The following is a 24,839-nucleotide window of genomic DNA, read 5'->3' on the forward strand; positions in this document are numbered from 1 at the left end:
CCTCAAATTTAGGAAGATTAGGAAAAGCCTTATACTGGAAACTTAAACATGAAAATAATGTTTCTTGCCAAAAGAAGGAAAATTTTCTTAAAAGTAATGATGAATGGCGTTTTGTTTTTTGAGATAGGGTCTTGCTCTCTCTTCCAGTCTGGAGTGCAGTGGTTTGATCATGGCTCACTGCAGCCTCAATCTCCTAGACTCAAGTAATCTCACTTCAGCCTCCCAAGTAGCTAGGACTATAGGCACATGCTACCACACCTGGCTAATTTTTTTATTTTTTTTTATTTTTTGTAGAGATACAGTCTCCTCTGTTGCTCAGGCTAGTCTTGAACTCCTGAGCTCAAGTGATCCTCCCACCTCAGCCTCCCAAAGTGTTGGGATTATAGGCATGAGCCACTATATCTACCTAAATGTAGTAAGTCTTTATGCTACTACTGAAAAAAAGAATGAATGTCAAAATACACTAGTGTGTTTGTGAAAACAGTACCAACTGGGAATTTGCGTAATATAAAAATCCAAAAGGATTTTTCCATTTAAAGCTTCTACTAGAAAATAATAAAAACATCTTGGATGTTACCCTTGAAAATATTTTTCATTTGCCCTTAATTTTAAAAATTTATTGTGAAATAAATATATAGAGAAAAGTTTATAAAAAATACAGTTCCAGTTTGAGTATCTTTCTTCAGGTTAAGAAATAGAAATTACCACTTCTTTAGAAGTTCTTCTGGTCTCTTAATCCAAATTCATGCCAACACTCTAACTCCCAAGTGAGTTGCCAGGGTTCATTGCCTTCCCCAATGCCTTATTCCTATCTCCCTTCTTCCCTGCGAGAAACCTGGCTTCTATTTGGTTAATATGTGCTAAACAGTTTCAGAATTGCTATACCCATGCCACTGTCAACAACAAATCTAAGTGACATTTAGTATTTCTTCATGGTTCTCCTTTTTAGACAGAGTATATAGTTGAAGTATTGCACTTCAAATTTACTTGGATTAGTACCCTTTCCTCCTCAGTGTGATTATGGTATTTATTTGGTCGTAGATGAATTTTAATTTTTCTAGATATTGCCTGACTCTCCTTCATTGAGGATTCTGCATTTGACCAGCAGAGTATGAGAGTGCTTCTACCTCTCATAGCCTCACTGACAAAGGATCAAGAAAGACTGGGATTTTTGCCAATCTGAAAAACAATATATGGTATCTAAGTGTGTGTTTTTTTCCTTAGAGCTTTATCGAGGTACACTTGGTGCAATAAAGTGCATCTTTAAAGTGTTTTGAGTTTGGACACAGACCCGTGAAACCAACACCATAATCAAGATTCATGATGAATATGTTCCACGTAGTTTTCATTTAAATCCCTCTCAGTAGCATATTTGTATGTTTAAGAGCCATTTGCATTTTTTCCATAAATTGCTTGTTCCTCTCCCCCTGCCCCCTCCCCATTTTTAAACAAGGCTGTTGGCCTTTTTCTTCTCTACTTTTAAGAAGCTTTTTTGTGGATAATTGGGATATTAACTCTGTGTATTTAAGCTGCAAAAATATATTTTCAGTTTTTCACTGTTTACTTTTAGTATTTTTCTGTGCGAAAGTTTTAAAAGTTTTTATATAAGCAGATTGATCCGTTTTTTCTTTAATAGTTTCTGGAATTTAATAGAGTTTTCCTCACTGCTACATTTTAGAGGAATTCAGCTATCCTTGCCTCCAGCACTGTATGGGTTAATTTTCTTACATTTGAATCTCAGATCCATTTTGAAACTTGGTTTAAGATAGGAGTAATGAAATCTAATTTTGTTATTTTCCAGATGGCTTTCCAATTATGTCAACCTCACTTTTCAAGAAATTCATCATGGTGCTGAGGCAACTGTATGTCCACATAGAAAAGAATAAAATTGTACCCCCGTCTCAGACCTAAATTTATTTATTTATTTATTTTTTCTTTAACTTTTATTTTAAGCTCAGGGGTACATGTGCAGAACGTGCAGGTTTGTTTACATAGGTAAATGTGTGCCATGGTGTTTTGCTGCACAGATCATACCATCACCTGGGTATTAAGCCAGCATCCATTAGCTATTCTTCCTGATGCTTTCCCTCCCCCACACCCCCGACAGGCCCCAGTGTGTGTTGTTCCCCCTTCCTTGTGTCCGTGTGTTTGCATCATTCAGCTCCCAGTTGTAAGTGAGAACATGTTTGGTTTTCTGTTCCTACATTAGTTTAATGGCTTCCAGTTCTATCCATGTCCCTGCAAAGGACGTGATCTCATTCCTTTTTATGACTGCGTAGTATTCCATGGTGTAAATGTGCAACATTTTCTTTATCCAGTCTGTCATTTATGGGCATTTAGATTGATTCCATGTCTTAGGTGCATAGTGCTGTGATGGACATATGCATGCATGTATTTCTACAATGGAAAGATATTCTTTTGGGTATATGCCCAGTAATGGGATCAGTGGGTCAAATGGTATTTCTGCCTCTAGGTCTTTGAGGAATTGCCACACTGTCTTCCACAGTGGTTGAACTAATTTACATTCCCACCAACAGTGTAAAACATTCCTTTTTCTCCACAACCTCACCAGCATCTGTTGTTTTTTGACTTTTTAATAATAGCCTTTCTCCATGGTGTGAGATGGTATCTCATTGTGGTTTTGATTTGCATTTCTCTAATGATCAGTGATGTTGAGATTTTTTTTTTATGTTTGTTGGCCGCATGTATGTCTTTTGAAAAGTGTCTGTTCATGTCCTTTGCCCACTTTTTAATGTGCTTTTTTTCTTGTAAATTTGTTTAAGTTCCTTGTAGCCTCTGGATATTACCTTTGTCAGATAGATATATTGCAAAAATCTTCTCCCATTCTGTAAGTTGTCTGTTCATTCTGCTGACAGTTTTTTTTTGTTTGTCTTTGTTTTTGTTTTTTGTTTTTGCTGTACAGAAGCTCTTTAGTTTAATTAGATCCCATTTGTCAATTTTTGCTTTTGTTGCAGTTGCTTTTGGCATTTTCATCATGAAATCTTTGCCAATGCCTCTGTCGTGAATGGTATTGCCTTGATTTTCTTCTAGGGTTTTTATAGTTTTCGGTTTTACATTTGAGTCTTTAATCCATCTTGAGTTAATTTTTGTATATGGTATAAGGAAGGGGTCCAGTTTCAGTTTTCTGCCTATAGCTAGGCAGTTATCCCAGCACTATTTATGAAATATGGAGTCCTTTCTCCATTTCTTTCTCTTTTTTTTTAACACATGCCAAAGATTTATTTAGTTAATTAAAGAGAGAATCAGCAAGACGGTGTAACGTATCCAAAGGAGAATTTAAAAACATACATAAATATAGGCGATCAGAAAAACCTGCAATGAATTTACAAAGAGATGGAAACAAGTCAATATCCACAATTAGCATAATCAAATACGTGTCTATTTGAGACAATTAATTTGCATTTCTTTGGGCAAAAGCACTTGCATGATTTTCAGCTCAATATAATTTACATAATAAATTATATTAAGCTCAAAGACAATAAAAAGCTAAGAAAACTCAGTAGAGTATGCTAGATGAGTAAGCATTTTTAATTTTAAAATCTTTCATAATTTTTCCTCTAAGATTCCATCTACATGACTATTTGACCAGTTTAGAATACAAATAAATATGCTCCACTGTATTTATTGTAACCTCTCATCTTGGATTTTTGAGGAAAAGAAAAACTTCAATTGTCTGAGATGGATATGATAAAAATATGTGACAGGGTGGTGGGCCCAGTGGCTCACACCTGTAATCCCAGCACTTTGGGAGGCTGAGGTGGGTAGATCACCTGAAGTCAGCAGTTCGAGACCAGCCTGGCCAACATGGTGAAACCCCATCTCTACTGAAAATATAAATAAAACTAGCCAGGCGTAGTGGCACGTGGCTGTAGTCCCGGCTACATGGGAGGCTGAGACAGGAGAATCGCTTGAACTCAGGAGGCAGAGGTTGCAGTGAGCTCAGATTGTGCCACTGCACTCCAGCCTGGGTGACAGAGCGACACTCAATCTCAAAAAAAAAAAAAAAAAAGGAACAAGAACAAGAAAAAAGAAAAAAAAGCTGTGGGCAAGTAGAAGCAGTTACCAAAAGTTTGCTAAAATGGAACATACACCCTAGGATTGTTTAATTCTAATCACAATTGATGTGAACATAGACATGTAAACAGGTGCTTTTTTTAAAAAAAACCTCTCATTAATAAAATTAGTATAAAGAAAGAAAGAAACAGACCATCTAGGCTGTTACACCTGGAAGCTCAAAAAAACCCATAAAGGTCTTCATATGGTATTGTTTGTGGTTAAAGACTAAAATAATGAGGGGATTGAGAACTGTAAGTTTTGAAAAACTGCAAGGGAAATGGGAAAGAGACTGTTCCAGCTTTTTCTTCTTATTGCTTCTTCAATTAAAATTATTTTAGGCCAGGTACAGTGGCTCACGCCTGCAATCCCAGCACCCTGGGAGGCCGAGGCGGGCAGCTCACCTGAAGTCAGGAGCTCGAGACCAGCCCGGCCAACATGGCGAAACCCCGTCTCCACTAAAAATACAAAAAATTACCTGGGAGTGGTGGCCGGCACCTGCAATCCCAGCCACTGGTGAGGATAAGGCAGGAGAATCGCCCAAACCCAGGAGGCAGAGGCCGCAGTGAGCCAAGATTGTGCCACTGCACTCCAGCCTGGGCAATAAGAGCAAAACTCCATCTAAAACATCTGTCCAATTGAGATGGTAAAGCCATTGAAGGGACTCTACTATGGTCTGAAAGTTTGTGCTGCACCCTTTCCCTCCAAAATTTATATATTTTTTATTATACTTAAGTTCTAGGGCACATGTGCACAACATGCATGTTTGATACGTAGGTATACTTGTGCCATGTTGGTTTGCTGCACCCATCAACACATCATTTACATTAGGTATTTCTCCTAATGCTATCCCTCCCCCACTCCCCCTCCCGACAGGCCCCAGTGTGTGGTGTTCCCTGCCTTGTGTCCAAGTGTTTTCATTGTTCAGTTCCCACCTATGAGTAAGAACATGCAGTGTTTGGTTTTCTGTCCTTGTGATAGTTTGCTGAGAATGATGGTTTCCAGCTTCATCCATGTCCCTGCAAAGGACATGAACTAATCCTTTTTTATGGCCGCATAGTATTCCATGGTGTATATGTGCCACCTTTTCTTAATCCAGTCTATCATTGATGGACATTTGGGTTGGTTCCAAGTCTTTGCTATTGCGATTAGTGCCACAATATACATATGTCTTTATAGTAGCATGATTTATAATCCTTTGGGTATATACCCAGTAATGGGATCTCTGGGTCAAATGGTATTTCTAGTTCTAGATCTTTGAGGAATCGCCACAATGGTTGAGCTAATTTACACTCCTACCAACAGTGTAAAAGCATTCCTATTTCTCCACATCCTCTCCAGCATCTGTTGTTTCCTGACTTTTTAATGATTGCCATTCTAACTGGTGTGAGATGGGATCTCATTGTGGTTTTGATTTGCATTTCTCTGATGGCCAGTGATGATGAGCATTTTTTCATGTGTCTGTTGGCTGCATAAATGTCTTCTTTTGAGAAGTGTCTGTTCATATCCTTTGCCCACTTTTTGATGGGGTTGTTTTTTTCTTGTAAATTTGTTTAAGTTCTTTGTAGATTCTGGATATTAGCCCTTTGTCAGATGGGTAGATTGCAAAAATGTTCTCCCATTCTGTAGGTTGCCTGTTCACTCTGATGGTAGTTTCTTTTGCCATGCAGAAGCTCTTTTATTTAATTAGGTCACATTTGTCAGTTTTGGCTTTTGTTGCCATTGCTTTTGGTGTTTTAGTCATGGATTCCTTGCCCATGCCTATATTCTGAATGGTATTGCCTAGGTTTTCTTCTATGGTTTTTATGGTTTTAGGTCTAACGTTTAAGTCTTTAATCCATCATAAATTAATTTTTGTATAAGGTGTAAGGAAGGGGTCCAGTTTCAGCTTTCTACATATGGCTAGCCAGTTTTCCCAGCACCGTTTATTAAACAGGGAATCCTTTCCCCATTTCTTGTTTTTGTCAGGTTTGTCAAAGATCAGATGGTTGTAGATGTGTGGTGTTATTTCTGAGGCCTCTGTTCTGTTCCATTGATCTATATCTCTGTTTTGGTACCAGTACCATGCTGTTTTGGTTACTGTAGCCTTGTAGTATAGTTTGAAGTCAGGTAGCATGATGCCTCCAGCTTTGTTCTTTTTGCTTAGGATTGTCTTGGCAATGTGGGCTCTTTTTTGGTTCCATATGAACTTTAAAGTAGTTTTTTCCAATTCTGGGTAGAAAGTCATTGTTAGCTTGATGGGGACGGCATTGAATCTATAAATTACCTTGGGCAGTATGGCCATTTTCACGATATTGATTCTTCCTATCCATGAGCATGGAATGTTCTTCCAGTTGTTTGTGTCCTCTTTTATTTCTGAGCAGTGGTTTGTAGTTCTCCTTGAAGAGGTCCTTCACATGCCTTTACCCAGGTATTTTATTCTCTTTGAAGCAATTGTGAATGGGAGTTCACTCATGATTTGGCTCTCTGTCTGTTATTGGTTTATAGGAATGCTTGTGATTTTTACACATTGATTTTTGTATCCTGAGACTTTGCTGAAGTTGCTTATCAGCTTAGGTGATTTTGGGCTCAGCAGTCCTTGAGCCCAGGATATGGTGGTCTGATTGTTGGTTGCACAGATATTTCTAATTCTTCCCTTCATTGCAGACAAAGTTTTGTTTTTTTTTCACTTGAAACTTTAAAACTCTAAACTTGTAAATAGAACTTTTTCAGCCTCTGTTCCTGTCTAGAAAACCTGGTCCCCTGGTTTCAAGTAGTGCATCTGACTGTTGTTCACCGCCTCCTCACATGAGGTGTTTTGGTTTTCATTTTCCCCAGTGCTGGATTTTTGACCCTGGTGCCTGTTTTCACTCTCAGCCCTTCACGTGCCCCCTCGCTTGAGCCACACTGCATTACAAGGAGTTGATCACTTGTTTTAGAAAGGGCTGAATATCCCACTTGACTTGTCTCTTAATTACTGTATTGATCCATATAAAGTCAACTTTTCCCCATTTCTAGCTCATCATTTATAGATATAAGAACCATCTTACTTGTAATCATTGAAACATACTTTAAATTACAAAAAGTCCACTTCTAATTTAACAATTTCCCCTTTCCCCATTCTCAAAATGTACAGTGGTGCAGTGGTGAATGGGGATGGGGAGTGTTCGTCCCTTTTTTTTTTTTTTTTTTTTTTTTTTTTGATACAGGGTCTCACTCCTGTTGCCCAGGCTAGAGTGTAGTGGCACAATCTCGCCTCACTGCAGCCTCCACCTCCCGAGTTCAGGTGATTCTCCCATCTCAGCCTCCTGAGTAGCTGGGACTACAGGCGTGTGCCACCATGCCCCGCTAATTTTTTTGTTTTCAGTAGAGATGGGGTTTTGCCATGTTGCCCAGGCTGGTCTCAAACTCCTGGACTCCAGCAATCCTCCCACCTCGGCCTCCCAAAGTGCCTGGATTACAGGCGTGAGCCACTGCACCTGGCCTGTTTGTTCTTTTAGTCTTTACTTTCTCCCCTTATTCTTGTGGTGCTCACATTGAGGGATGAAGAATAAAGAAGAGGAAAGGGGGCGAAGACTTACTTGGTTGGTTCTTTGGTAATCCAGTGATGGCGTATGTGCAAATGCTTGCTCTTTCGTGCTTCTCATTAGTGTGTTTTCTCAGAGGCCATCATAGAACCAGTCACTTCCCCAACACAGGCAATATACTTCATATTTCACCTCTTCCGAAACCGTTCTTCACTCCCCTCATTTCTGGCTCAGCTCCTGCCCACAAGTACCCTTTTACTATTTAGATCATCTGACCTTGGTACATTTTGGAGTTTCATTGATTGGGCTTAAAGTTGGACTTAACACTTGGCCCAGGGGAAGTACATGCATTCTTTTATTCCTCTCAACTTTTTATTTTGGAAAACTTCAGACCTACAGAAAAGTTGAATGAATGGTGGGTGAATAACCATATGCCCTTCCACTAGATTCACCAACTTAATATGTTATCATATTTGCTCGCATTTATTTCATTTTCTTGGCTGGCTAATGAGAATCCCAATGCAGACATGACGTTACTTCATTCCTATGTACTTTTGCATGAATCTCCAAAAATCAAAGATAGGTTTTTTTATGTTATACTCTGAAAATTTAACATTGATATGGTACTGTTACCTAATATACAGTACCTATTAAGATTTTCCCAAATGTTTCAATACCTTGTATAGCTGTTTTTCCTCCTGATCCAGCGTATAATAAAGATTTCAGTTCATTTTTCATGTTTCTTTAATCATGAACAGTTCCCCCAGCCTATTTTTTTTACCTTTCATAACGTTTGACTTTTTTTTAAAGGAGTCTACACCAGTTCTTTTGTAGAATGTCTCTCAACTTAGATTTGTGTGATTGTTTTTTCGTGATGAGATTGAGGTTAAACATTTTTACTAATGTTTTGTTAAGGTGATATCACCAGAGTTCTTTGTAAAAGTACTTTTTCCTGTGTAATCTGTGGAGTGTCATTTTAAGACCGAATGGATTTCTTATTCCCTAACAGTCTTTTACTCTGTAGTTTTAGCATTCATTGATAATTTTTGCCTGTATCCATTATTAACTTGATATTTGTAATATGGTGATGTTCTAATTCTGTCATTTCTTCTATAGAGAGAAGATGGTTTTCTTATGTAAAGAACAACTTTCCTTTTTTCTCCCACCATCAAAAGAAATAATTTATTGTCAGCATAGACTCATGTATTTTTTCAGTGTGTTATTATCTGTTTCTGTAATTATGCATTTTGTTGTGCAGCTTGTTCCAAACTCGTCCTCTAGGGAGTCTATGCATTCTTGCCCTGCCAAACAGTGGAAACACCGCTTGTCCAACTGCCGGCCTTTTCCCTCCATTGGTAAAGTTGGCCCCAGGCAACTTACTGAGTTTGGACCTCTCATTGCTAAGGGAGGCACTTAGCTCATGGGAAATATATTTACATATGCTCCCAAATGTGCAGATTCATATGTTGAATTTTCCTAAGAACACTCCCTGTGCCACCCACACCTGACATATGCCTGGTAGTTTCTGTGGCTCAGTAATCCCCCACCACAGAGTAAGATGCCTTTCTCCACTTTCAGAGGTTCTTTTAGAGCCTCCATTTACCTGATGTGATTTTACAATGCCCCATTCTCCTGGGGAAGTAAGGAGAAGAGTCACAGTTCTTTTTAGTCCTTTGAATTCTCTCACGGAATGCCTTTTGGGATTTTTTTGTCTTTTCTTTTATGGCCTGATGTGGTGCTCTAAGGCTCACTTTTAGTCCTGTGCAGGTCTTTAGAATATGAGATGTATTGGTTTGCTAGGACTACTGTTACAAGGTACCACAAACTGAACTTTGTCTCAGTAAGATGTTAGAAGTCGAAGGGCAAGGTGTTGGCAGGGTTGCTTTCTTTGAGGACTCTGAGAAAGACTCTATTCTGTGCCTCTGTCCTAGCTTCTGGTGGTTTGCTGGCAGTCTTTGGTGTTTCTTGGTTTGTAGATGCATCACCCTGATATCTGCCTTTGTCTTCACATAGCATTCTCCCTATGTGTATCTGTGTCCAAATTTCCCCATTTTATAAGAATATCAGTCATAGCGGATTAGCTGCCTACCCTACTGTAGTATCACCTCATCCTAACTTAACTATAACTTAATATAGTAAGTAATATATATATACGATATTAACTTATACTAATATATATACAGAGAGTTCCTTGTATGCTTTGGATAACTAGCCCCTTATCAGATACATGATTTGCAAAAATTTCCCCCCCAATTTGTGGCATTTCATTTTCATAATGGTTCTTTGACACTGAAACATTTATAGTTGTGATGAAGTTCATCTTCAGTTTTTCTTTTATGGATACTTTTGGTGTCATATCTAAGAATACTTTACCCACCCAAAGTCACAAAGATTTTTTTCTTCTATATTTGTTCTAAAGTTTTACAGTTTTTACTCTTAACACTTAGGTCGCTTATCCATTTTGATTCAATTTTTGTGTATAGTGTGAGGTAGGGTCTAAATGAATATTTTTGCCTGTGGATATCTGGTTGTCCTAGTACCATTTGTTAAAAAGCCTGTCTTTTCTCCTGATTTATCTTGTCAAAAAGCCTTATATTGTCAAAAGTTCCTTATATTCCATAATATAGACTCTCAATTCTGTTGTTGATTTACATGTCTGTCTTTGTGCCAGTATCAGCCTGTCTTGATTACTGTGGCTTTCTAGTAAGTTTTCAAATTCAATAGTGTACATTCATTTTTGAAATTGTTTTGGCTATTCTAGCTGCTTTGGCTTTCATAAATCTTAGGATTGGCTGGTCAATTCTACAAAAAAAATCCTGCTGGGATTTCGATAGTGAATACATTGAATTTACACATCAGTTTGGGGAGAAGCCATCTTCAATATTAAGTGTTCCAATCTGTGAACATTAAAAGTCTATTTATTTAGATCTCCTTTATAAATGATTTTCAGTGTACAAGTCATACATAGCCTTTATTAAATTTATTCCTAAGTTTCTATCCCTTTTGATGTTACTGTGAATGAAATTGTCTACATCAATTTCCTCATGAGTTTACTCATTTTTCATGTATAGATATACAATTGATTTTTCTTATATTGATCTTGTATTCTGCAACTTTGTGGAACTTATTTATTTAGGTTATTTATTTAACCTTACTTATTAAGGTTATTTTTTTCCCTTAGGTTTTCAGGTGGGAGGGCAGACCAGTCCCTTTCACTCCATTTTGGCTGGGAGGAGAAGTCTACTCAAAGGGTTGTGAGAAATGAATAAAACCATTTGAGATAAAAACTTTTCCATGAATCTTATTCCAACAAAGACCTTGTTAGTATAGTCCCTCAGTATCCATGGAGGATAGATTCCAGGACCTCCCTGAGATACCAAAATCCGCAGACGCGCAAGTGCCTTATATGAAATGGTGTCGTGTTTGCATGTAACCTACATGCATCTTCCCATATACTTTAAATCATCTGTAGATTACATAGAAAACCTAATACAATATAAATGCTATGTAAATAGTTGTTAAACTGTATTTTTAAATGTTTTTTTAATTTTTATTTTTGTTTTATTTTTGATTCATGGTTGCTTGAATTCACAGATGTGGTGGAAATTGCAGATACAGAGGGTGAGTAGTGTTTTAATTTTTCAAGTTAAATTTCTTGGTCTAAGTAAATTTTCTATTTCCATTGCAGCATTCCTCTGAATATTGATTTGCTGAATAGCCCAGACTTATTGGAAGCAACGATTGGTGATGTAATTGGGGCATCTGACACTATGGAAACATCCCAAGCACTGAATGACGTTAATGTAGCCACCAGGCTTCCGGGATTAGGGGAACCTGAAGTTGAATATGAGAGTAAGTAAATGTTCCATTATACATCAGTGATACCTTTTTATCTTCCTTTGAAATAAGATATTTAAATCAGCTTCTCCAATAATATTTTTTGTACTAGTTCAACTTTTAAATTTAATTCAGAAGAGTTATGCCCTCTTGCCTTTTTGACTTAAGGTAACACTGAAATATTTAAGATAACATAATTGAGGTCATTAAACTTGTGTGTCATTTATAAGACATTAAACATTTAAGAGTCTTCAAACTTGCTTTTTGCTTTTTTTCTAGAGTGGAAACATTTTCTAGGGCATAGGATTGAATGAATATTTGAACATCCCATTAGCTGTTAGAAAGTATTTTGTTATTAATGAGGATTATTATTGCCTAGGCCCACAAAAAGAAATAACACAGAAAGAATGGTGCTTTAAAACACACACACACACACACACACACACACACACACATTTTTGAAGGTTAAAAGGAGACAGTAAATCTCTCATTGAAAATGTCTATGTATTTGTGAGTTTAGTTTTATATGAAAGCATAACTTGTTTATAAACAGCAGTTTCCTGTTGAATCTCACTGTAATGCATGTTCATTTTAAAGCAGCTTGTATTTATTTGGCTCTTGACCATTTGATTTCTATTGGAGGCTAAAATTAGCCACCATCATTAAACAACTCAGAAAATTGCCCTAAGTATGCTGTTGTCTCTGAGACTGTAGAATACAATAATATTTAGTAATTTAGAAATAAATGTTAGTGAAAAGTCACACAGTGCTTCTGATTAATAGAACATGTTGAAGTATGACTGATAAGTGGTGCTAAAAATTTGTGTATTTCCTAAGAAATAACTACAAACAAATGTTCTGGTACATCATGGTTTTTTTTTTTTTTGACATCTAACGTGTTTAAATTGTGCTTGTTAGTCTCAGGTCAGAGAAATAATAATTTAACTTATTATATTGGTAATTTCAAAGTAATTTTGATTTTTTAAGGTAGTAGTCTGTTATTAGATTAAGAAAATATCCCCCATTACTATTTCTCATGTACTTTCTCTGTAGTAATTTATTTCGAATAGTCCAGTTTTGACAGCCTTGCCCTGGACTCCACTTCTTGTTAGCAATGCTTGCTCTTGTTCTCACTTATATGTGGGAGCTACACAGGGACATAAAGATGGGAACATTAGACACTGAGGATTCCTAAAGGAGGGATGGACTGGGAAAGGGCTGAAAAACTTCCTATTGGGTGCTGTGTTCACTTTCTGGGAGATGAGATCAGTAGAAGCCCAAACCATGGTACCACGTAATATACCCTTATAACAAACCTGCACATGTGCTCCCTGAATCTAAAATTAAAATTAGGCTGGATGTGGTGGCACATGTCTGCAATCCCAGCTACTCGGGAGGCTGAGACATGAGAATCGCTTGAACCTGGGAGGCAGAGGTTGCAGTGAGCTGAGATTGTGCCACTGAGCTCCAGCCTGGGCCACAGAGCAAGACTCTGTCTCAAAAAAAAAAAGAAAGAAAGAAAGAAAAAATTAAAAAAAGAAATTTGCTTTTCGTTTCTAGAAAGAATTGAGACCATAGCAAAGCCATCAGGATTTAGATTCAGCCAGAACCATGACTATCTTAATGCAGAGTATTTCCAGGGTTAAAAATAAAAACAGTCTCCTTTATAGAGATGGCAGTATTGATTTTATTTACATTCCACTTGATATCCATTACACTAATTCACAAAGTTTAATTTTTTCAGTGCTGTAATAGTGTTGTATTAGTATCACTTATTGAATACATACTTTTTGCAAAATATATTAGCTTAGGATTTACATGGTAAAATGAACTAGGAATGCTTAAAAAAAGATCAAATGAAATATAACTCTCCAAATATTTGGAAATCTGATATATCAAAGAATTTGTTTTATGGCACTTTATTGGTGAACCTTGGATGAGCAATTTGCAAGTATGGGGAAATAGACTGTACATCAGTAAGGGGAAGTTTTTTAACTGTTTATGCTGTATAATAGAAATAGGTTCCTGGCCAAGCACAGTGGCTCACGCCTGTAATCCCAGCACTTCGGGAGGCCAAGGCAGGCGGATCACCTGAGGTCAGCAGTTCGAGACCAGCCTGGCCAACATGGCAAAACCCAGTCTCTACTAAAAGTACAAAAATTAGCCGGCCATGGTGGCAGGCACCTGTAATCCCAGCTACTTAGGAGGCTGAGGCAGGAGAATCAGTTGAACCCGAGAGGCAGAGGTTGCAGTGAGCCGAGATGGCACCACTGTACTCCAGCCTGGGCAAGAGTGAGACTCCATCTCAAAAAAAAAAAAAAAAAAGGGTTCCTAAGAGTTAGTGAGCACCTCATTACAGAAAGTATTAAAGCGGAGCTTGAATGTTGTCAAGGTTGTGGCAGAGGAAATTCTTGCATAGTGTGGGAGTTTAGTTCATATGACCTAATCCATTCAGACTTATAACATTTGCTCAAAATCAATCAGTGAGAATAATTAGAACATTTTTATGTTAAGAGTTTAAGGTCATCAATCTTGATATCCAATTGTGTATTTTATTTTGGTTGTAATGTCAAAATCCTGATTCACATAGGTAAATAGTTACAAATGGTAACTAAAATAGCTTGTGCTGCATGGCAGGATGTTCCTTGGACAAAATAGTATAGCAGAAAAAGGTTTAACAACAACAAAAAGAGTATTCAGGATGGAGTAATTTGAAGCATAATAAAACCAGGAGATGGCAATTAAGTAAATGGACAGGAAAGATTTTGAGAAGACCAGTGTTGAATTACTGGTGCTCAGCTTTGGTTGTACTTAAAATCACCTGGAGAGTTTTAAAAACTACCAGTGCCAGAATCCTACCTGAAAAGATTTTGTTATAATTATTCTTGGGTGAGCCCTGGGAATGAGCGTTTCTTGAAAGCTCTCCAGCTGATTGTTAACGTGTATCCGGGGCCTCCACTCAGTTAATTGATGGCCACTTTTAGAAGATCCCTTTGACCCAGAGGATATGATTTCAAAGTTTCCCCCTCTTTTCTTCTTTCTGATCATATAGAAATTATTAGGCATTCAACCTTTTTTGTCAAGTTGACAGTGTAAAATTTTATGCACACATCAAATTAATCTCTGCAAAATAAGATTATTTCAGGACAGTTAATTTTAAAAGTCTTCATTTAAAGATGAATTGTGTTTAATGTATTATGTTTTCAGTGGTTAGAGGACTTTGTAATGTATTTTGCCACTAGGAAGAACATTATGAAGACAAAATGCTTGTCTTGCGTCACACCTGATGGTACCAATATATAATATGTTGAATCAGTGAACGAATAAATATATATTCTTCATTAGTTTGTTCCACATAAATTTAGTTTTAGGCAGTAGTCAGGGCCAACGAACAAAGATGGCAAAGTGTTGAGGTTAGACATGAGCCTGGGTTGTGGTTATGAAAGAAAAGGATCATGTCACAAGTGTTCTGTGCCTTTTGGGTCTCTTGGCTAGGTAAACCTTCTTAACCACACATGCTAGGGAGATTTCACATCTACTTGCTTTTTAGGAGTGCTGCAGATATAGGGTGGTGTTTCTACTTAGGATTAACTCTTATTCAAATTAATGGACAGATAGCTGGTTATGGAAAGAAAATATATTTATTTTGTGTTTATCTGGATTATTACTTTTAGTTGATGATAACTGATGTTGAGAAGACAAAACAAAACCATACCCTCACACAGCTAGCTGTGACAGCCTGGCAGACTGGGGTTATTTTGCCTTTTTTTTTTCTTTTCAGCATTAAAAGACACCTCAGAGAAGCTCAAACAGCTTGAGATGGAGAACAGTCCTTTGCTGTCCCCTCGATCCAACATCGATGTTAACATAAACAGCCAGGTATTCAGATTTCCCCTGTGTATACCTGTTACACATCTCCAGAGCTCCCAGAAATATTTTCTTTCCAAAGACAGTACTTTCTTTTTTCTTTAGCTGGGAAATCTGTCTGTGCTGAGTTCTTATAAACCTGTTTTCTCATTTTAAAGGGTGAAATATGTAGATGTTTAGGAGGGAAGGGGGAAACTTGCACAGCAAAGTGAATTGTAAGGTGATTTCATGATTTAAAAAAAAAAACACAGTCAAGATGAGTGTTAAACCTTTTATTTTGATTGACCCAGTCTAGTTGGAAGACTTGCTGAAGCCTTTTGAAATTACAGAAGGATTTGTTTTAAAGAGAGCTGCTCTGTGGTATAAACAAGAAAGAGAATAGAATTTCAGATGCTTTAACTTCATCTATCATTCCTTTCTCTCCCCTGTCCCCTTTGAATTTTTTTTGTTGTAGGGTGGGGGATACATACCAATTACACCAATCAAGCTTCAATTTATAGTTTGGCTATGATTTTCTTATTTCTATGTTAAGTAACTTATAGAAAGAGCTAAAATAAATTGAATGAGATGGAAATTTTATAATTAATCATATCAGCTACCAGATGGCCCCACTAAATGGAAGAGTTGATTTTAGGTAATGACCTGGAAATGGCCTTTTTTTTCCCTCTACATACAGACAACTGATAACATGACCAAGATGAATTTTGTTTTTGTTTTAAAGAGGAAAGGAGAACGGCTGACTCACGGTGTTCTTCCATTCTTGGATAACTAACTGGAATTCCTTTAGAGACCAGCAGAGAGTAGAAAGTGATTGTCTTCTGTCTCGCACTCGCACTGTTATGATTCAAACTGTCTTTCGGGATCCAAGCCTTTTTTTCCCCTTTCTTTCTAATACATTTTTTATTAGAAATAGCTGTTAGAAGGTGATTCAATTTCAGAAAGGCTTTCCATTTTCTTGACTTTTCAGTATTCTATCCCACTTGTCTGTTTGCTTTTACAGTGTCAGTTTTTTAAATATATCTCTGTAAAGTAGGGGAATGCAGGGCCAGAGACAGAAGGATAAATGGAAAACTTTAGATAAAAGCTTTAGATGATTAATAACTAATGGAAATTTAGTGGAGGACTGGAATGACCCTAAAGAATGAAGCCTGGTAACACTTGGGGGTAGGGAGGAGTGGGGGGCGGGGATTGTTGGCTGTGCTCAGAGTTCATGGAAATCTATTGAACAGCTACTTGTTTCTTTGTAAAATGTCCTGCTTATCTCACTATGATATAACTGATCCTCTGAGGCAGAGAGTCTGCTGCATTAGTTTTGAAGCCTTGAAAAGATGAGGAGGAGTGTGGGTTCAGGATAGGAGAGTAAAGGAGCACTTTAGGTGAAGGACAGAGTGCCATCAAAGAACTTTTAGGGGATCATATAGCTAGGAAGAATAACAATATTTAGTGAGGGTTTACTCTATGCCAGACAAGAATAGAAGGAAGGAGGGGATGGAGCAAGATGGCCAAATATAACCCTCCAGTGATCATCCCCCTTGCAGGAACACCAAATTAAATAGCTCTCCATACAAGAAAGCACCTTCATAAGAACCGGAAATCAGGTGAACCATCATAGTACCTGGTTTTAACATTATACCAAGGAAGGAGGCACTGAAGAGGGTAGGAAAGACAGTCTTGAATGGCTGATGCCACCCCTCCCCTATGGAGGAGTGTGGTGCTGAGAGAGAATCTGTGCTTGGGAGAGGGAGAGCACAGTGACTATGGCACTTTGTATTGGAACTCAGTGTTTGTTGGTCTGTCTGTCGGAATGGAAAGCAATGCAGGGCACAATTTCGCTGGTGCCCACAGAGGCTGCATTTAGAACAGCCCTAGCCAGAGAAGAATCTTCCATCCTAGCAATTGGAACCTGAGTTCCAGCTAGCCCACCGCTGTGGGCTAAAGTGCTGTAAGCTCCTAAATAAATTTGAAAGATAGTCTAGGCCACAAGGACTACAATTCCTGGGCACATCCTGGTACTGTGCTGGGCTCAGAGCCAGTGGACCTGGGGTACACATGACCTAGAGAGATACTAGCTGGAGGAGCCAAAGGAGTGCTTGCATCACCCTCTCCCAGTCCCAGGCAGTGCAGCTTACAGCTCTGGGAGAGACTTCTTCCACTTGAGGAAAGGTGAGGGAAGAGTAAAGAAGACTTTGTCTTGTAGCTTGGATACCAGTGTAGCCACAGTAAAACAAAGCACCAAGCAGAGTCCTAAAGCCTCCATTTCAGGCCCCACCTCCCAATGACATTTCTAGACATACCATGGGCCGGAAGGGAACCTGCTGTCTTGAGGGAAAGTATCCAGTCCTGGCAGGATCTGTCACCTGCTGACAAAAGAATCCTTGGGTCAGTGGTTTCCAGGCAGTACTTGTCATAGGCCTTGGGCAAGACCTGGTACCATGCTGGCTTCAGGTGTGACCCAGGGCATTTTCAGCTGTGGTGGCCATGGGGAGAGACACCTTCTGCTTGAGGAAAGGAGAGGGAAGAATAAAAAGAACTTTGTCTTGCAACTTGGGTAACAGCTCAGTCACAGTAAAATAAAGTACTGAGTAGATTCCTACAGTTCCCAACTCCAGGCCCTAGCTCCTTAGACGGCATTTCTGAACTAGCCCTGAGCCAGAAGAGAACCTGCAGTCTTACAGAGAAATGCACAAGTCTGGCTGGATTCACCACTTGCTGACGGAAGAACCTTTGGGCCTTGAATAAACATGAGTGTTGGCCAAACAATAGTCACCACATACCTCGGGTGAGACCCAGTACTTCACTGGCTTCACTGGCAGGTCTGACTCAGCACAGTGTCAGTGGGTAGCCACAGGGGTGCTTGTGTCGTTCCTCCCCCAACTGCATGCAGCTCACTGAGAAGAGAGAGACTTTATGGGAGAAAGTGAGGGAAGAGAACAAGAGACTCTGCCAGGTAATCCAGGGAATTCTCCCGGATCTTACCCAAGACTACCAAGGCTGTACCTTAACAAGCCTGCAAGAGTCACAGCCTTACTGGGCATGAGGTTCCCCCTAATGCAGATATGGCTGGAGTGACCAAAAACTTGTATCACAACATTCAGTTCCCTTTGAATAACTACAACGGCTTCTTAAGACAGATGGGTAGAAACAAGCCCAGACTGCAGAGATTACAATAAATACCCAACTCTTTAATGCCCAGACATAAACAAGCATCCAAGATCATCCAGGAAAACATGACCTCACCAAACAAACTAAATAAGGCATCAGTGACCAATCCCAGATTGACAGAGAGAGATATGTGACCTTTCAGGCAGATAATTCAAATAGCTGTTTTGAGGAAACTCAGTGAAATTCAAGATAACACAGAAAAGGAATTCAGAATTCTATCAGATAAATTTAACAAAGAGATTGAAATAATTTTTAAAAATTAGCAGGAATCCTAGAGCTGAAAAATTCAATTGACGTAATGAAGAATGCATCAGAGTCTTTCAACCACAGAATTGATCAAGCAGAAGAAAGAATTAGTGAGCTTGAAGACAGGCTGTTTGAAAATATAGTCAGAGGAGACAAGAAAAAAATGAAGCACTCCTAGAAGATCTAGAGTATAGCTTCAAAAGGACAAATCGAAGAGTTATTGGCCTTAAAGAAGAGGTAAAGAGATGTGGTAGAAAGTTTGTTCAAAGGGATAATAACAGAGAATGTCCCAAACCTAGAGAAAGATATCAATATTCAAGTACAAGAAGGATATAGAACGCCAAGCAGACTTAACCCAAATAGGACTACCTCAAGATATTGAATAATCAAACTCCCAAATGTCAATGTTAAAGAATCCTAAAAACAGCAAGATAAAAGAAACAAATAACATACAAGGGAAATGTCAGTGTTAAAGAATCCTAAAAGCAGCAAGAGAAAAGAAACAAACAACATACAAAGGTGCTTCAGTAAGTCGAAGCAGACTTTTCAGCAGACACCTCACAGGCCAGGAGAGAGTGGCATGACATATTTAAAGTGAAGTAAAAATTTTTATCCTAAAATAGTATATCCATGTTTGAAGATACCCTTCAAACATGAAGGAGAAATACTTTCCCAGACAAACAAAAGCTGAGGGATTTCACCAGACCTGTCTTATAAGAAATGCTGAAAGGAGTTCTTCAATCTGAAAGGAAAAGATGTTAATGAGCAATAAGATAATCATCTGATGGTACACAACTCACTGGTAATGGTATGTACACTAACAAATACGGCATATTATAACACTGAAATTGTTGTGTATAAACTATTCATATCTTTAGTAGGAAGGCTAAAAGACTATCAAAAATGTAACTACAACAACTTTTCTAGACATAATATAGTAAGCCATAAATAGAAACAACAAAAAGTTAAAAAGCTGGGGGTGGGGGTGGCGGTTTGAAGTTGAAGTATAGAGTTTTTATTAGTTTTCTCTTTGCTTGTTAATTTTTTTTTTTTTTTTACTATCAGTGTTGTCATCAGTTTAAAATAACATGTTACAAGATGGTATTTGCAAACCTCATGGTAACCTCAAATAAAAAAGCCTACAACAGATACACAAAGAAATAAAAAGCAAGAAATTTAAACATACCATCAGAGAAAAGCACCCTTCACAAAAAGGAAGGCAGGCAAGAAGGAAGAGAAGATCACAAAACAATCAGAAAACAGATTGAAATGGCAATAATAAATCCTTACTTATCAATAATAATATTGAATGTAAATGAACTAAACTCTCCAATCAAAACACAGAGTGGCTACATGGATTAAAAAAAAAAAAGCCCCCAATGATCAGCTGCCTACAAGATGCACATTTTACCTATAAAGACCCATAAAGACTGAAAATAAAGGGTTGGAAAAAGATATTCCATGCAAATGGAAACCAAAAAAGAGCAGGTTATTTATATTAGATAAAACTGATTTTGAGACAAAAACCATAAAAAGACAAAGAAGGTCATTATATATTGATAAATGGTCAATTGAGCAAGAGGATATAACATTATAAATAATATATGCACCTAAAACTGGAGTACCCAGATATGTAGAGCAGATATTATCAGAGCTACAGAGAGATACACCTCGGTACAATTCTAGCTGGAGAATTCACCCCACATTCAGCAGAGGATAGAAAATCCAGAAAAATTAACTCAAAAAATTGGATTTAATCAGTGTAGACCAATGGACCTAATAGAACATTTTATCTAGTGGCAGCAGAACATACATTCTTGTCCTCAGCGCACAGATTATTCTCAAGGATAGACCACATGTTAAGTCACAAAACAAGTCTGAACATTCAAAAAAACAAATCATTTCCAGTATCTTCTCTGACCACATGGAATAAAACTAGAAATCAATAACAAGAGAAACTTTGGAAACTATACAACCACATGGAAATCAAACAATATGCTTCCAAATGACCAGTGGGTCAATGAAGAAGTAAGGAAATTTTTTAATTTCTTGAAACAAATGAAAATGGAAACAAAACATACTAAAATCTATCGATACAGCGAAAGCAGTACTGAGGAAAGTTTATAGCAATAAGCACCTACATCACAAAAGTAGAACAATTTCAGATAAACAGCCTAATGATGCATCTTAAGGAACTAGAAAAGCAAGAGCAAACTAAACCCAAAATTAGTAGAAGAAAAGAAATAATAAAGATCAGAGCAGAAATAAAGGAAATTGAAACCAAAAAATACAAAAGATCAATAAAATAAAAAGTTGCTTTGTGAAAAGATAAACAAAATGGACAAACCTTTGGCCAGATTAAGAAAAAAGAGAAGACTCAAATAAATAAAATTGTAGATGAAAAAGGAGACTTATAACTGATACTGCAAAAATCAAAGGATCATTAAGGATTAGTATGAGCAACTATATGCCAATAAATTGGAAAACATTGAAGAAATGGATGAATTCCTAGACACATGCAGCCTACCAGGACTGAACCAAGAAGGAATCCAAAACCTGAATAGACCAATAACAAGTAACAAGATCGAAGCTGTAATAAAAAGTCTCCCAGCAAAGAAAAGCCCAGGACCTGATGGCTTCACTGCTGAATTTTACCAAATATTTAAAGAAGAACTAATACCTATCCTACTCAAACTATTCCAAAAAATAGAGGAGGAAAGAATATTTCCAAATTCATTTTATGAGATCAGTATTACCCTGATAACAAAACCAGACAAAGATACCTCAAAAAAGGAAAACTGTAGACCAGTATCTCTGATGAATACTGATGCAAAAATCTTCAATAAAATACTAGCAAACTGAATTCAACAACATATTAAAAAGATAAGTCATCACGTCCAAGTGGGATTTATCCCAGGATGTAATAAGGATGGGTTAGCACATGTAAATCAATCAAGGGTGATACATTATATCAGCAGAATGAAGGACAAAAACCATATGATCATTTCAATTGATGCTGAAAAAACATTTGATAAAGTTCAATATCCCTTTGTGATTAAGAAAAAAAAACTAAAAAAACTGGGTATAGATGGAACATACCTCAGCACACTAAAAGCCATGTTATGACAGACCCACAGCTAGTATCATGCCTGAAAGCCTCCTTTAAGATCTGGAAAAAGGCAAGGATGCCCACTTTCACTGCTGTTATTCAGTGTAGTACTGGAAGACCTAGCTAGAGCAATCAGACAAGAGAATGAAATAAAGGGCATCTAAATTGGAAAGGAAGAATTCAAATTATCATCAGATGATACTATTTTATATTTGGAAAAAACTAAAGAAAAAGAAAAACAATTAGAACTAATAAATTCAGTAAAGTGGCAGGATACAGATCAACATACAAAAATCAGTAGCATTTCTACATGCCAACAGCAAACAAACTGAAGAAAAAATCAGGAAAGTAATCCCATTTACAATAGCCACAAATAAAATGAAATACCTAAGAATAAAAATAATCAAAGAAGTGAAAGATTTCTGCAATGAAAACTACAAAATAATGGTATGAGATATCGAAGAGGACACAAAATTTGAAAGATATTCCATGTTCATGGATTAGAAGACTCAGTATTGATTCAATGTCCATACTTCCCAAAGCAGTTTGCCAATTCAATTTAATCCCTATCAAAATACCAATGATATTCTTCAAAGAAATAGAAAAAAATAATCTAAAATTTATATGGAACCACAAAAGACTCAGAATAGCCAAAGCCGTCCTGAGAAGAAAAAACGAAACTTTAGAACTCATAGTACCTGACTTCAAATTATACTACAGAGCTATAGTAACCAAAACTCATGGTATTAGCATAAAAACAGACACATAGACCAATGTAACAGAATAGAGAAGCCAGAAATAAATCCATACATCTGCAGTGAGCTTACTTTTGACAAAGGTGCCAAGAACATACACTGGGGAAAGGACAGTCTCTTCAATAAATGGTGCTAGGAAAACTGGATTTCCATATGCAGAAGAATGAAACTTCTATCTCTGCCATATACAAAAATCAAATGAAAATGGATTAAAGACTTAAATCTAAGGTCTCAAACTATGAAACCACTAAAAGAAAATATTGGAGCAACTCTCTAAAACATCAGTCTATGCAAAGATTTCTTGAATAATATCCCAAAAGCATAGGCAACCAAAGCAAAAATAGACAAATGAGATCACATCAAGTTAAAAAGTTCCTGCACAGCAAAGGAAACAATCAACAAAGTGAAGAGATGACCCACAGAATGGTAGAAAATATCTGCAAATTACCCATCTGACAATGGACTAATAACCAGAATATATAAAGAGCTCAGACAACTCAATAGGAAAAAAATCTGATAATCTGATTTTAAAATGGGCAAAAAATCTGAATAGACATTTCCCAAAAGAAGACATACAAATGGCAAACAAGTTTATGAAAAGGTGCTCAACATCACTGATCATCAGAGAAATGCCAATCAAAACTCCAGTGAGATATCATCTCACCCCAGTTATAATGGCTTTTATCCAAAAGACAGGCAATAATGAATGCTGACGAGGATGTGGAGAGAAAGGAACCCTTGTACACTGTTGGTGGGAATGTAAATTAGTACAGAAGTACAGAGTGCCTCAAAAACCCAAAAATGGAACGATCATATGATCCAGCAATCCTACTGCTAGATAATATGCCCAAAAGAAAGGAAATCAGTATATCGAAGAGATATCTGCACTCCCATGTTTATTGTGGCACTGTTCACAGTAGCCAAGATTTGGAATCAACCTAAATATCTATCAACAGATGAATAGATAAAGAAAATCTGGTACATATACACAATGAAGTACTATTCGGCCATAAAAAGAATGAGATACTATCATTTGCAACAACATGGATGGAACTGGAGGACACTATATTAAGAGAAGCCAGGCACAGAAAGACAAACTTGGTATGTTCTCATTTATGGGAGCCAAAAAACGAAGAATTAAACTTGCGGAGATAGATGGTTACCAGATGGGAAGGGTAGTATGGAGGGTGTGGGGAAAAGTGGGTATGGTTAATGGCTACAAAAGTATAGTTAGAGTGATAGAATGGGTAAGAGATAGCATTTGATAGCATAACAGGGTGACTACAGTCAATAACTTACTGTACATTTAAAAATAACGGTATAATTGGAATGTTTGTACACAAGAAATGATAAATGTTTGAGGTGATGGATACTCCATTTACCCTGATGTGATGATTACACATTGTATGCCTGTATCTACATATCTCGTGTACCCCATAAATGTATACAAGTACTATGTACCCATAAAAATAGAAAAGATTTTTTAAGAAAAGAAGGAAGAATTCAGTATTGTACTACTAATAAAGGACATGTGACTACCTTGCCTTAACTCTAGTCAACTTGAGTAGAAGTTGAGCCCCCCGATCTGAAAATTTAAAATTCAAAATGATCCAGAATCTAATACTTTTTGAGCACTGATGTGATGCACAAAGGACATGCTCATTGGAGCATTTTTTATTTTGGATTTTCGTATTTGGAATGCTCAACCAGTGTATAATGCATATATCCCAAAATCTGAAAAAATACAAAATCTGAAATACTTTTAGTCCCAAGCACTTTGGAAAAGGGATGCACAACCTGTATTGTGAAAAAGTTGATTCATGTTTTATTAATGTGATGCATTTTTAATAAAGGCTGATTTCTCTACCTCTGCTATCAACAGTTGTTGTTTGCTTAAGGAATGCAAATTAATCTTAATGTTGGCCTGACTAAAGTAATTTTAGGAAGAAAACCTACTGAAAATAAAATACGTCATTCTAAAGTAAAGCATGATTTGTTGGATGACTTGCCCTAAGAACTGAGAATGTCTTAGCCAGCAACCTAATCTTAAGGCTCAGACTAGCACTACTGACAGCAGAGTTGACAGTGTTGTAAGAGCCCATTGTAGAGAGATCACATCCGGCCTGCATTATGCAGGATTTATACAGTCACCTGACATGCCTTATGTACTGTTGGTTCAGTTCTAAAAATGTGTTTATTGCCTACTTTTTGTAAGATAAAATAAATACTGTGTGGAATTCGCAGACGAGTGGAATGACAAGTTCTTGACCCTCAGGAAACTTT

General features: G+C 37.3%; 1 protein-coding gene across 8 annotated transcripts in view; it reads left to right on the forward strand.

The window, feature by feature from the left end:
* Positions 1–24,839, forward strand: part of EPB41L5 (erythrocyte membrane protein band 4.1 like 5) — a 166,043-nt gene that overhangs the window by 103,343 nt on the left and 37,861 nt on the right. For all 8 annotated transcript variants that reach the window (XM_047445208.1, XM_047445210.1, XM_006712651.2 and 5 more), the window contains 2 exons: positions 11,269–11,432; positions 15,199–15,296. In XM_047445208.1, the coding sequence (XP_047301164.1) occupies positions 11,269–11,432; positions 15,199–15,296 (262 nt within the window). The remainder of the gene's footprint in view (positions 1–11,268; positions 11,433–15,198; positions 15,297–24,839) is intronic.

Source organism: Homo sapiens, chromosome 2 (assembly GCF_000001405.40).
Source record: "Homo sapiens chromosome 2, GRCh38.p14 Primary Assembly".
In the NCBI taxonomy this organism is placed as follows: Eukaryota; Metazoa; Chordata; class Mammalia; order Primates; family Hominidae; genus Homo; species Homo sapiens.